This window comes from Homo sapiens, chromosome 2 (genome assembly GCF_000001405.40).
Source record: "Homo sapiens chromosome 2, GRCh38.p14 Primary Assembly".
NCBI lineage: Eukaryota > Metazoa > Chordata > Mammalia > Primates > Hominidae > Homo > Homo sapiens.
Window position 1 is genome coordinate 77,945,423 of NC_000002.12, and position 14,038 is coordinate 77,959,460.

At 37.1% G+C, this 14,038-nt stretch overlaps 2 long non-coding RNA genes and 1 other non-coding gene across 8 annotated transcripts in view; all 3 read right to left on the reverse strand.

Moving 5' to 3' along the window:
• LOC105374817 (uncharacterized) overlaps positions 1 to 9,612 on the reverse strand; it is a 30,572-nt gene extending 20,960 nt beyond the window's left edge. For 2 of the 6 annotated variants that reach the window (XR_940268.3, XR_940265.3), the window contains exons 1-3: positions 9,538 to 9,612; positions 5,616 to 6,111; positions 3,062 to 3,163 (exon numbers count right to left, since the gene is read on the reverse strand). This is a non-coding gene — a long non-coding RNA (uncharacterized LOC105374817). Of the gene's footprint in view, positions 1 to 725; positions 880 to 3,061; positions 3,164 to 3,869; positions 4,181 to 5,615; positions 6,112 to 8,289; positions 8,392 to 9,537 lie in introns of those variants that run through there. The other 4 variants (XR_940266.3, XR_940269.3, XR_001739552.2 and 1 more) reach the window with 4 other exon arrangements.
• LOC101927967 (uncharacterized) overlaps positions 1 to 14,038 on the reverse strand; it is a 547,036-nt gene that overhangs the window by 201,727 nt on the left and 331,271 nt on the right. The window lies entirely within an intron of this gene.
• On the reverse strand, positions 9,485 to 9,604 carry SNAR-H (small NF90 (ILF3) associated RNA H). Its single transcript, NR_024342.1, has one exon. It is a non-coding gene; the product is annotated as a small NF90 (ILF3) associated RNA H (small nuclear RNA).

Sequence of the window (14,038 nt, forward strand, 5' to 3'; positions counted from 1 at the left end):
TAAATGGTTATCGTTTACGAGCAACCAGATTTTTGGTGTACTATGCCATATTATTAAAAAAAAAACATTAAAATGAACATGTTAATGTGATTAAAATAGGTTATTCAAACAGGACAGGAACTACTTTAATTTTGTTAGTCAGTAAAATACTAAGGTTTGCACAAAAGACTCTGCCTATCAGCTTGCAGTTCCCTCTAGATTTTTGTTTTTCTTTCATTTATGTTGCTGAGGTATTCTAATATTCTAGTTAGTGAAGCATTGTTTAACCATGTATATCCTTACTAGTCTCATGTACACATGTGGATGTGTATCTGTGCATATTATTGAACAAAGTTAGATGTTCAATACTTTACCTTTCCCAAAATTGCCATGCAGGTTATATTTAATGTTCTGTTTGCTTAATTTTGATGTATTATTGATGCTGGATGTTGAGGAGAATAAATACAGTAGTATCCTGGCTCCAGGGTCCAGGATTGATCACTTATAATGAGGGACTTGTGAATGCTAATTGCACATTGCTATATTTCATAAATTCTGGGGGTTGGCAAAGACAAGGTTATTGCATTTTATCTATCAGAGGTGATTAAGATGACCGAATTCCACTGGAGGTTCCTGAAGCATGAGCTTATTTAGTTACTTATGGCAAACAACCCTACTGCCAGATATGGGTAATGCCGTATCTGTGAAGATACTATTACTTTTCTCTCAGCAGTGTAACTGCTCACCTTAATGTGAAAGGTGGGTTGTTAAGGTGATAATTGGCTGAACTGGGAGACAATTGTGGGAGATCTTTCATTCTTGAAGAAGGAGTGACTTCATTATTTTTGCATAAATGTACTCATATTTTTTAGCTTGCAGTATCCCTTGTGGTATCTACTTCTAAAGTTTTTCTCTGCAACACATAGTCAAAAAACTCTTAAAATTATGCATATAAAACTAGTATCTGATTCAGTAGTTCTGAACTTCCTAGACTGTAATTATAGATTTTTCAAAGATAACAGGAGAACATTGGTCTGAAGCATATATGAAATATGTTTCCACGTTAGGATCTTACTGTTGTTGAAATTTAAAGATCACAACACTTGATAAAACTCCCAATTTTCCTCCATTTTTGGAAAAGTACTATTAAAGTATTTTTCAATTCAGACCCATAAAGCACAGTCTCATTTATTTGGGTGTTGTAATAAAAATATAGGTAGTTTGGAGTAGGCTTCTTTTTTTCTCTATTCCTTATTAATTGTAGAGTGGAGTAAATACAATATGAACTCCACAAGGACCAATTTCCATAGGACCTAATGTTCATTAGACCCCATTATTTCAGGAGCAATACAAAAGGATGCTATTCGATCTCACTGTGTGCTTTGGGATGATCAAAAGTTCACCACAGCAAGTATCTAGTGTGACACCTTAAAGGGATTAGTTTAACACCTTTTGCTACTGGAGTTGGACTGAGAGTTCGCAGCTACTCAGTTCCTTGTACAGACTGCATTGATGTGGCCACATTTAGCTATGTGGAGCTTTTCTATCGCTTTTGTTTAGAATCCCTTTTATCTTTACCTATGGGAAATTATTTGTTCCTTGTGATATTTATATATATTATGCGTTCTTTGTGAAATCCTTAGGTGGCCAACCACGAGACCACGGCTGCTTCTATGTTCCTCATTTCTTCATATTAAGCTTACAGGGGACCCCTGAATTCCCATTGCATTGTCATCACAGGGTTTTGAAGCAACTTGTACTTCTTTTACCATATTTATATAACATAAATATCCATTTTTGGTCCACATTTTAAGATTAAAAATCTATTATAATTCCAATGAACAGTACACAAAAACACAGGACATTCAGAGTGCAAGCAGTTAAGGCATATATGGAAAACAAATATGGTGGTTAGCACAAAGTTATTTGAAAGCTAGATGAACATCAATATTGGTAATACTCCACCATTCAATTGTCCATTTGTTTAGGCAATAAATAGTTATTGGCTCACTACAATAAAAGGGAAGCATTTTCCCCTTAGGTAGCAGATGAGTTCTTATATCTGTATTTTTTAAAGAAACATTGTAATTCTTACAAAAACTGCTATTTTAATGAACTATGTGAATCTAGCTTCCAAAAATGCAAGAGAAAGGCAGACTAAAGCCAAGACCTGTAATTAACTGCATGCTTATTTGCTAAAATAAATGTGCAATTCTCACTTCTTTCTCTGAATGGGGTTACTGGGACTACTGTCATTAAACTGCCATTTCAGTCCTATCATTATAGAAATAATAAGAAACAAGTTCTGGAATCTGCTTTTCTCTTCATTTTAGGGTAATTTATTGGTGGAAGCAGAAGTTATTTTTAGATGCACTAAATTCTTACATAGTGATACCTACACATATTTTTAAGTACACATAATATGTGGTCATTTCAAATAATAGCTTAGGTAAAAATAATAATTTACATGTGATTAGCATGCTTTATCAGATAACATAATCAATTTTTATTTTAAGTTCATTAATAATGCAGTAAAAATTGATTTACTATTTCTGTTTATATAATTTACTCATTTTCCCATAATGGTGAACATTGAATATTTTTGAGCATTTCTTACAGCCTAATACTGTTTTCTAACCATGCACGCCTCTTGCAGGCTACTGGTTCCTAGTCCTCTCTTCTTTGTCTTTGTTGTTTCTTATTCTACATGATTTCTCTTCCGTTCTTATGGAACTGCCACCTAAGAGTTGTGCAATGCCCAAATGGTATTATCAACCAAGGCTTTTCTGCTATCCAAATATTCTTGGGTAATCCAAAGTCACATCAAAATGTACAAACGTTTATCATATGCTATCCATTTAGCTGGGATCTCTAATGGAACAAGGGATATACCTTAATAAACATGCAAAATAAACTCCAAGACAGAGCTTAGTCTACAGAGATAAAGATTTACACACACATATTTTAAACTAAACTCAAAATATTCTAAAATAAACTTACTATTATTCTGGCTTACTTGCTATTCTTTTATTCTTAATTGTTTCACATGTTTCAAACAAACAAACAAAAAGGAAATGACTACCTTTTTCAGATGTTGCTCAGAGGAACTAAGATGAAAACTAAAGATTGGATTTGGCAACTGGGAATCTCATTGGTGATCTTTGAACACAGAATAAAAAATACACTGTGGAGACAAAAGTTTGACTGATATGACTATTAAACAGAGTGGGAAATAAGATAGTAGAGAAAGCAAAACACTAAGTATTTAAGTTGTTTCACCATAGAAGACAGCATAAAAGTAAGAAACCAACTGGTAAAGAATCTAGGTTCAAAAGACTGATTTTTCTTCTTTAAGACCATAAATATTACAGTTATTATTATACTGATTTTAAAAAGTAGAAAGAAAAGTATAGGTTATACTGTAAAGTGGGATATTATTACAGAGGAAATGTAATTTAGTGAATATATGAGAATTATATTCTCATATATAGGAAGGGGTAGAAAGATGCTACATGGAACAAGGACAACAACTGCCTCGCTTCTAGACATGGTTGTATGTAGAGTGTATATAAAATAGTATTTTCTTGAGAGAGTCATTAAAAGCAGTGTAGTGGCGGGGGGAAACAAACTTTCAAAGATGGGACTAAAGATGTTACAGGATCGTTTGATCATGAGTTACAAACTGGAGTATTTGGGGGTTCATAAGAGGTTAGTGATTGAGTCACATGATCCGCTGTAAAGAGCCAGAGATAAACAGTCTGAAAGATAAAATAGAAGGGAGGAGGATTCTTCCTGGGAAGATTGGAGTGATCAGAAATGTTCGTGATGGCATTCATTAGACCAGAATGCTTCCGTGGGGGAGTGAAGAATTAATGGTAAATGTAGCTTACTTTAGGGACACATCTCTTTGTCAGTTTACAGCAATGGTGCTGACAATGTTGGGGATAGGAGTTGCGTTTGCTTTTTCTACATTTTTGCTCATCTTCTTTCCAAATGGCAAGAGGCTATCTGACCCCATCTTTGGCTGAAATGGGGAAGGAGGAGAGTTACAAAATAGTACATAATTGTTTTTCATTGGCACCCATTACCCTGACTTCTTCACGTTCTATGGATTAAGAAGATTGTTAATTTCATAGGGTGCTTTCTTGAACTTCTTGGTATTAAAAAAAAAATCTTCAGCTGAATTAAATTTAAAGGAGTTTGAGCAATGAACAATTCACAAATTGGGCAGTCCCCAGAATCACAGCAGATTCAGAGAGACTCCAACACAGCCACATGGTGGGAAGAAGATTTGTAGAAAAAAAAAAAGTGAAATTATGTACAAAAATACAAAGTGAGGTACGGAAACAGCTGGATTGGTTTGCCTTATTTGAACATGGTTCAAACAGTTGGCTACATTTGATTGGCCAAAGCTCAGTGATTGGCATAGGCGTAGGCTATGATTGGTTTACGCCTCCACCTGTTATAGTTCATCATGTACAGAAAAACCTTTAGGCCAACTTAAATATGTAAGGAGGCAGCTTGAGGCTACACTTGATTAACAATTCCCCCCTTTTTGTCATTTTCTCAGTTTTTAGAGATTGACCAAAACTTTAGTTATGATGTTGTCATTGGTCTTGAAACAGTAGGTTATGTAAGTTGGGAGTGAGGACTGAGTAGAGGGTACCTCTTTATGCTGGAACATCCTGTTTTCAGGAGAAAAACACAACTTTTCCTTTTCTGATCTAGGATCTACATATTTTCTTAAAGTCTTAGTTTGAATATGTGACATTTAACACAAGCGAATTTATTTTGGTTTGATTTGGTCTTTTGGGGTCTAGTGCCTAAGCTCAGCCCAAAACAATAGCCTCTGATATATATTTTTTTAATTCTTCCTTTTTGGCTAGGTTCTCACTTAGGTGAGAGTGTGATCAAAACTTAGGGCCTTAGCGCCACTCTGTTACCATCATTTTGAGTTTCTGTTCTCAGCATATCATTTATAGGGTATGGCGTCCTCATGATTGTACATTTCTTTCAGGTCTTGTGATTTCAATTGAAGAGAGACCATTTGACTTTCTAGAGATGGCTGTATGCAAACATTTGAGAGAATGTAGAGCACCGGAAAGACTACTATTATGACTATCAAGAGGATAACACCAAGAGTTTGGAGTATGCTCCTTACCCAGGGTTCCCATAAACCAAACCACCTAAAATCAAATAGATCAAAGAATGAGTTAGATAAAGGGTCTACTCGCTTAACTAGGTGGTCTCTTTGTTAATCTCCGACACCCGAATCTCTACAATACCCGATGTTTTCTCCACAGGCCATAAGTGCCAGCAGCTGCACAGATATTTTTCTGTTTAGCCAATTCCATTATTTAGCAACATTTTACATAACTTAAATTTTATTTTGAAATCATAGCCTTTACAGTAGAATCTGCTATAGAGCCTATCATAAGGGATACATTTTTTAATCATTGCCTCTTCTACTTTAAACCATGGAAAAAGAACCTAATGAATGATGCTGTGCCCTTCTAGAAGAGTGAAGGCCTCCTGGCAATGTTCTCTTTAACCCATAATGTGGGTTAAGAGGAATGAATCAATGTTCTGTTTCTTACTGACTATCAGGCAACATATGTACCACCAAAGTTTCTTACCTGCATTGGGTCTTTGTCTTTTATCTCTTAAACTATAAGGTCATCCATATATAAGGCTGGCTGAAAAATCCTTCACACATAAAAGTGTGCCCCATAAGTGCACACAACAGACTCCCTTTTCACGTCTATTGTTCACAGAAGCATAACCAAGGGAAAATATTCAAAGATAAGAGTCTCGTGAGTGTAGAGAAGTTTCAATCCGTGATTTTGGGAAAAGCTGTTCACATTAAGGGTGTTATCTTCTTCTGGAGAGAAACTTTCCTGGTGAGCTTAACCTTCAGAGTTCCAATGGGTGCACTGTTCCAAGAGTGTGGAAGGATCCTTCTCAGTTGTGAGATTATGAACCTGAAGTTCAAGGTCCTGAAGTCTTGCTGTAGTGTAGATTGCAAGGACAGTCTTTCTCTGATGTTCTCAGAAGATCTGATCATAGGCAGCCCTCTAGCAGTACTTGCCCTGGGCTTGTGATGGTGGTGGACACAGGGAGGGACTCCTCTGCCTGCCAAAACGGAAGGGAAAAATAGGAAGGACTTTTTCTAGTGGTTTTGGCACTAGCTCAATATCAAGAGAATAGAGCACCAGGTAGATTTCTAAGATTTCCAACTCCAGGCCCTGGCTTTCAAATGGCATCTCTGTATGTGCTTAGGGTCTGAGGAAACTCGCCACCCTTAAGTGAAGTACACAAGCTTCACTGGCTTCATTCAACTCTTCAGTGCCCAGATGCTGAAAAACATTCACAACAATCAAGACCATACAGAAAAACATGACCTCATCAAATGAACTAAATAAGACACCAGAGACCAATTTCAGAGAAACAGTTATGTGACCTTTCAGACAGAATATTCAAAATAGTTGTTTTGAGGAAACTCAAAGAAATTCAAGATAACACAGGGAAATCATTTAGAATCCTATCAGACAAACTTAACAAAGAAATTTAAATAATTAAAAATAATCAAGAGAAATTCTGGAGTTGAGAAGTGCAATTGACATACTGAAGAATGCATCAGAGTCGCTTAATGACAGAACTGATGAAGCAGAAAAAGAATTAGTGAGTTTCAAGACAGGGTATTTGAAAAGAAGAGACAAAAGAACAAAAAATACAAAATAATGAAGCATGCCAATGGTATCTAAAAATAGCCTCGAAAGGGCAAATCAAAGAGTTCTTGACCTTAATTTAAAAGTAGATAGATAGGGGTAAAAATTTATTCAAAGGGATAATAACAGAGAACTTTACAACCCTAAAGAAAGACATAAATATTCGTGTATAAGAAAGTTATGAAACACCAAGCAGATTCAACCAAAAGAAGACTACTTCAAGGCATTTCATAACCAAACTCCCAAAGTCAAAGATACAGAAAAGATCCTAAAAGCAGCAGGAGAAAATAAACAAATAACATAAAATGGAGCTCCAACATGTCTGGCAGCACTTTTTTTTCATTGAAAATCTTACACACTGGAAGACATTGGCATAAAATGTAAAAGGGCTAAAGGAAAAACCTTTTACCCTAGAAGAGCATATCTGGGGAAAATATCTTTCAGACATGAAAGATAAAAAAGGACTTTCCCAGGAAAGCCTGAGGAATTTTATCAAGACTGCATCTGTCCTACAAGAAATACTAAAAGGGATTATTTCATCTGAAAGAAAAAGACATAATGAGCTAGAAGACATCATCTGAAGGTACAAAACTCACTGGTAATAGCAGGTGCACAGAAAAAGATAGAATCTTATAACATTGTAATTGTAAATTAGTCATATCTTAAGTAGAGAAATGAAAAGATGAACTGATCACAAATAATAACTGCAACAATTTTACAAGACTTAGTCAGTACAGTAAGATATACATAGAAACAACAAAAAGTTAGAAAGTGGGGAGATAAAGTGTAGAGTTTCTATTAGTTTTCTCTGCCTGTTTGTTAATTGGCAGTGTTATCAGTTTAAAATAATGGCATAGAAGATATTATTTGCAAGCTTTATGGTAACCTCAAATCTAAATAATACAAGGGCTACACAAAATGAAAAGCAAGAAATTAAAACATGTCACTGGAGAAAATAACCTTCATTAAAAGGAAGACAGGAAGAAAGAAAAGAAAAAAGAAAAGAACACAAAAAGACCAGAAAAAAAAAATAATAAAATGACAGGAGTAAGATCTTACTTATCAATAATAACATTGAATGTAAATGGACTAACCTCTAATAAAAACAAATAGAATGGCTTAGTGGATTTTAAAAAATGAGACCCAATGATCCATTGGCTACAGAAAACATGATTCACCTATAAAGGCACATATAGACTGAAAAAAAAGGAATGAAAAAAGATATTCCATGCCAATGGAAGTTTAAAAAAGAGCAGGAGTAGCTATACTTATATCAGACAAGATAGATTTCAAGACAAAAACTGTAATAAGAGACAAAGATCATTATATAATAATAAAGAGGTCAATTCAGCAAGAGGATATAATGATTATAAATACACTTTCACCTAACAATGGAGCACTCAGATATATAAATTAAATATTATTATGGCTAAATAGGGAGATAGACCTCAATACTATAATAGCTGGATACTTCAACAACTCATTTCAGCACTGGAAACCTCATTCAGACAGAAAATCAACAACAACAAAAAATTTGGACTTAATATGCACTACAGGCCAGTAGGACATAATAGATATTTACAAAACATCTCATCCAGTGACGGCAGAATACACATTCTTCTCCTCAGCACATGAATCAGTCTCAATTGTAGACCACACATTAGGCAACAATGCAAGTCTTTTTTTTTTTTTTTTTTTTTTCCTCAGGGAGCTGTTCCGACTCTTTTTATTTTTTTATCCTGAAGGGAAAGATAAAGGGCGGGAAAGGGCGTCAGGCGAGGCGAGGCGAGAGGCTCGAGGTTCTAAGGGGATGGTCAGACTGACTGATGGACCTCAGGGTGGCCCCTCTGCCCCAGGACAGGCCTAGAAGAGCATGTGACCCCCTAGGAAACACCCAGAGACTGAGCGGAGGAAACAGCTCCCAGGGGCAGAGCTCCCAGCAGGCGCAAACCCAGAGGAGCAGAGGACGATTCGGAGAAGGAAGGAAAGACGCTGGGAAAGAGCCAGGGATGACAGGAAGAGAAGGAGACGGGGAAGGGCCCTGAGGCGAGGGAGGCAGGGCCTCCGACCAGGAGCGACCAGAGAGGATGTGACAGAGACGGAAGTGACAGAAAAAGACTCCACGGTCACAGGTGGAGCGGCCGACGGCACAGGAGACTGAGGCAGGGGATGGGGATGGCGACAGGACTGGGGGAAGACAGCAGCGAGGACAGTGCAGAAGTGGGATCAACAGCGACGAAGAGGATACAGTCCGAGGCAAAGGGGAGAGGACCAGAGAGAGAAGACAGTGAATCTGATGGGAGCGAACTAGAGAGGGGACGAAGACAAAGATCCCGGGGGCCAGGACAGAGATCAAGGAGTCTAGGAAAGACGGGAGACGGCCGAGCGCGAGGGCACACCCCTGTAATCCCAGCACTTTGGGAGGCCAAGGGGCGAGATCTCTTGAGGCCAGCAGTTCGAGACCAGCCTTGTCAACATGGTGAAACTCCGTCTCTACCAAAAATACCAAAATTAGGCAGGCACGGCGGCGTGGGCCTGTAATCCCAGCTACTCGGGAGGCTGAGACAGGAGACTTGCTTGAACCCAGGAGGCGGAGGTTGCAGTGAGCCAAGATCACACCACTGCACTCCAGCCTGGGCAACAGAGCAAGGCTCGGTCTCCCAAAAAAAAAAAAAAAAAAAAGATACATTGAAGTAATTTAAAAACACTTAGGAAGATGTCATTTCTTCCTATCAAGGCATCCTCCCTTTATGTTTTGTTGTTATATAGGGAACGATAAAAAAATTTTTTTTTTCAACCAATGTGGACCAGGTTGGCCTCAAACTCGTACCCTCGCACCCTCGCCTCCCTGAGGGCCCGAGGGCCAGCGCAACCGGCCGGAGCCACAGTGGCTCCGGGTGTTGGGGCTGTCCTTTCTTCCCTTTGATCTTACGCAGGGTGACGGAGCCAATCACGAGAGGCTCACCCCTGACGTCACCCAGTCCCCAGGGCCAGGGAGGGCCCTGCGTTCCATGGCGCCCCCTGGAGGGAGGAAGGGGAACTGTATCTGAGAGAGAGCAGCCAATTGGGACCGCTGACTCGGGCTGGGTTCCCACGCCACGTCCAACAATGCAAGCCTTAAAGCATAAAAATATTGAAATATTATCAAGTATCTTCTCTAGCCACAATGGAATAACACTAAAAATCAATAATAAGTAGAATTTTGGAAACTATACAAATAAATGAAAAATAAACAATATGCTCCTGAATGACAAGTGGGTCACTGAAGAGAATAAGAAGAAAATTTAAAAATGTATTGAAGCAAACAATAATGGAAACACAGCATACCAAAACCTTTGGGACACAGGGAAAGCAATACTAAGAAGGAAGCTTATAGGTATAAATGCCTACATAAAAAAAGAAAAAAAAAAAACCTTCAACTAAGCAACATAATAATACGTCATAATGAACTAGAAAAGCAACAGCAAACCAAACCCAAAGTTGATAGAGGAAAAGACATAATAAAGATCGAGTAGAAATAAATGAAATTGAAGTAAAGTGAAGAAAATAGGTTATTATAACAAAAAGATACAGAAGATTAATGGAAAAAATATCAATTTTAGAAAAAATAAACAAAATTGACAAACCTTTAGCCACACTAACAATAAAAGAAAAGATCCAAATAAATAAAATCGGAGATGAAAAAGGAGAAATTACAACTGGTAACTTCAGAAATTCAAAGAATCGTTAGTAGCTATTATGCACAAATACATGGAAATAAACTGGATAATTTAGAAGAAATGGATAAATTTCTAGACACATACAACCTACCAAAATTGAATGATGAAGAAATCTAAAACCTAAACAAATCAATAACAAGTAATAAGATTGAAGCTGAAATAAAATGTCTCCCAGTAAAAAAGTAATCCAATGCCTTCATTGCTGAATTTTCTGAAGCATTTAAAAAAACTAACACTAATCCTACACAAACTAGTCCAAAAAATAGGGGAAGAAGGAATACTTCCAAACTCATTCTATGAGGCCAGTAATACTACCCTGATACTAAAACCGGATAGAGACACATTCAAATAAGAAAAACTACAGGCCAATATACCCAATGAATATTGACACAAAAATTCTCGACAATATACCAGCAATCCAAATTCACCGATACATTAAAAAGATCATCATGATGAAGTGGGATGTATCCCAGGGATGCAAGAGTGGTTCAACATATGCAAATCAATCAATGTGATACATCATATAAACAGAATGAAGGACAAGAACCTTAGGGTCATTTCAATTGATGCTAAAAAGCATTTGAGAAAATTGAATATCCTTTCACGATCAAAAAGATAAAAACCTAAAAAAACTGGGTGTAATAGTCAGGGCTCTCCACAGGGACATAACTAATAGGATAGTTGTATATATAAATTGAAGTTTTAAGGAGTATTGACTCACGCTATCACAAGATGAAGCCCCGCACTAGGCTGTCTGCCAGCTGAGGAGCAAGGAAGCTAGTTCGAGTCCCAAAACCTCAAAAATAGGGAAACTGACAGTGCAGTCTTCAGTCTGTGACTGAAGGCCCGCAAGCCCTTGGTAAACCACTGGTGTGATTCCAAGAGTCCAAAAGCTGAACAACTTGGAGTCCAATGTCAGAGGGCAGAAAGCATCCAGTATGGGAGAAAGGTGAAGACTGGAAGACTCAGCAAGTCTGCTGTTCCATCATCTCCTGCCTGCTTTATTCTAGTTGTGCTGGCAGCTGATTAGATGGTGCCCACCCAGATTGAGGGTCGGCCTCTCCCAGTCCACTGACTCAAATATTAATCTCCTTTGGCAACACCCTCACAGACACACCCAAGAAAAATACTTTGCATCCTTCAGTACAATCAACTTGACACTCAATATTAACCATCACACTGGGCATGGAAGGAGTATATCTCAATATAATAAAAGCCATACACTAGAGACTGACAGTATCATACTGTATGGTGAAAAATAAAAGGCCTTTTCTCTAAGACCTGGAACATGACAAAGATGCTGACTTTCACCACTGTTATTTTACATAATACTGGAAGACCCGGGTAAAGCAATGAGGCAAGAAAAAGAAAGAAAGGGCATCCAAACTGGAAAAGAAGAAATCAAATTATCCTTGTTGTCAGATGATATAATCTTACATTTGGAAAAACCTAAAGACTCCACCAAAAACCTATTAGAAAAGAGAAACAAATTCAATAAAGTTGCAAGATGCAAAATCCACGTACAGAAATCAGTAGCATTTTCGTTTGTTTGTTTGTTTGTTTGTTTAGAGATGGAGTTCCACTCTGTCACCCAGGCTGCAGTGCAGCGAAGCGATCTTGGCTCACTGCAACCTCCGCCTCCCAGGTTCAAGCGATTCTCCTGCTTCAGCCTCCCAAGTAGCTGGGACTAGAGGGCGTGCCACCACGCCTGGCTAATACTTGTATTTTTAGTTGAGATGTGGTTTCACCATGTTGGCCAGGCTGGTCTCAAAATCCTAACCTCAAGTGATCTGCCTGCCTCGGCTTCCCAAAGTGCTGGGATTACAGGCATGAATCACCATGCCTGACCATCAGTAGCATTTCTATATGTCAACAGTGAACAATCTGAAAAAGAAATAAAAAATGTGATAGTCACAAACATGATTAAATTCCTAGAAATTAACTTAACCTGAGAAGTGAAAGATCTCTACAATAAAAAGTGTAAATCATTGATGAAAGAATTTGAAGAAGACACATATAAAAGGAAAGATATTCTATGTTCATTGAATAAAAGAATCAATATTGTTAAATTGTCTATACTATCCAAAGCAATCTACAGATTTAATGAAATTCCTATTGAAATAGGAGATAAGGGAAAAGTTGTGCACTGTTGGTGGGAATGGAAATTAGTACAAACACTATAAAAAACAGTTTGGAGGTTGGTTCCTCAAAAAAACTAAAAACAGAACTACTATATCATCCAGCAATCCCACTGCTAGATGTATACCCAAAAGAAAGGAAATCAGTATGTTGAAGAGATATCTACCCTCATATGTTTATTGCAACACTATTCACAGCAGCCAAGATTTGGAAGCAACGTAAGTGATCATCAACAGATGAATGGATAAAGAAAATTCAGCCATAAAACAGAAGAAGATACTGTCATTTGCAACAACATGGAAGGAAGAAGAGGTCATTATGTTAAGTAAAACAAGCCAGGTACAGAAAGACAAACTTCACATGGTCTCGATTATTTATGGAAGCTAAACATTAAAACAATTTAACTCATGAAGTTAGAGAGTAGAATGATGCTTACCAGAGGCTGCGGAGAGTAGTAGGGAGTGTGGGGGTATAAAAGGTGGGATAGTTAATGGGTATAAAAAATAGGATGAATAAGATCTAGTATTTCATAACAAAATAGGGTGATTATAGTCAATAATAATTCAATTGTACATTTTAAAATAACTGAAAGAGCATCATTGGATTGTTTGTAACACAAAGGATAAATGCTTGAGGTGATGGATACCTCATTTACCCTAATTTGTTTATTACACATTGTATGCCTGTACCAAAGTATCTCATATACCCTGCAAATATAAACATCAACTGTGTACCCACAAAAATTAAAAATAAGAATTACAAAAATATATTTCCCTTATGTAAAATTTCATTTTTTTAAATTTTTGGATCTGGCTTAAATCTTTTTTCAACTAAGCTCTGAAAGCACTCACTTTATATAATGGGAAGAGAAAATGCAGATTCTTCATTTTCTGGTAGAAGTGGTAAGAGGTAAAGAGAAAAATAAACCCTCATGGACTAATTCAGTCATTGTGTAAAATAACTGAAGGCAATGATATTATCCATCCTTTATCTAGACTTATTTGAATAATTAACTTATGGTGTTTAGAGAAAACTTCATGGAACAAGTGAATCTTCAAGCTAAATAATACATAATATTTGAAATGAAAAATTTACTACAAAATTATAGGTTGATTTACAGAGCATGAGAGATGTTCTTTTCAACAACCAGCTCCTCAAATTTATAGCTGCAAATTAAAAACTCTGCTTTATTCTAAAAACAAAGAAATAGTCCCTTTTCATTTTTATATCATTTTTGCTCAGTAAAATTTTGCCAAGGGAGGGTGTGATGCAAGAATATCAATTTAGATGTATTTTTGATATAGGTTTTGGATGAACCATACTCTTTCTTATTGATCTGCAGCTGATTGAAAACGTACTAAGAAGCCAGCATACAGCCATCAAATCAATGTTCCTGCTTAGATATGTTGACAACACTCATTTTTCCTGTCCTGGAATATTTGCCTTTCATTTACTTTGATTCACAATGCTTGG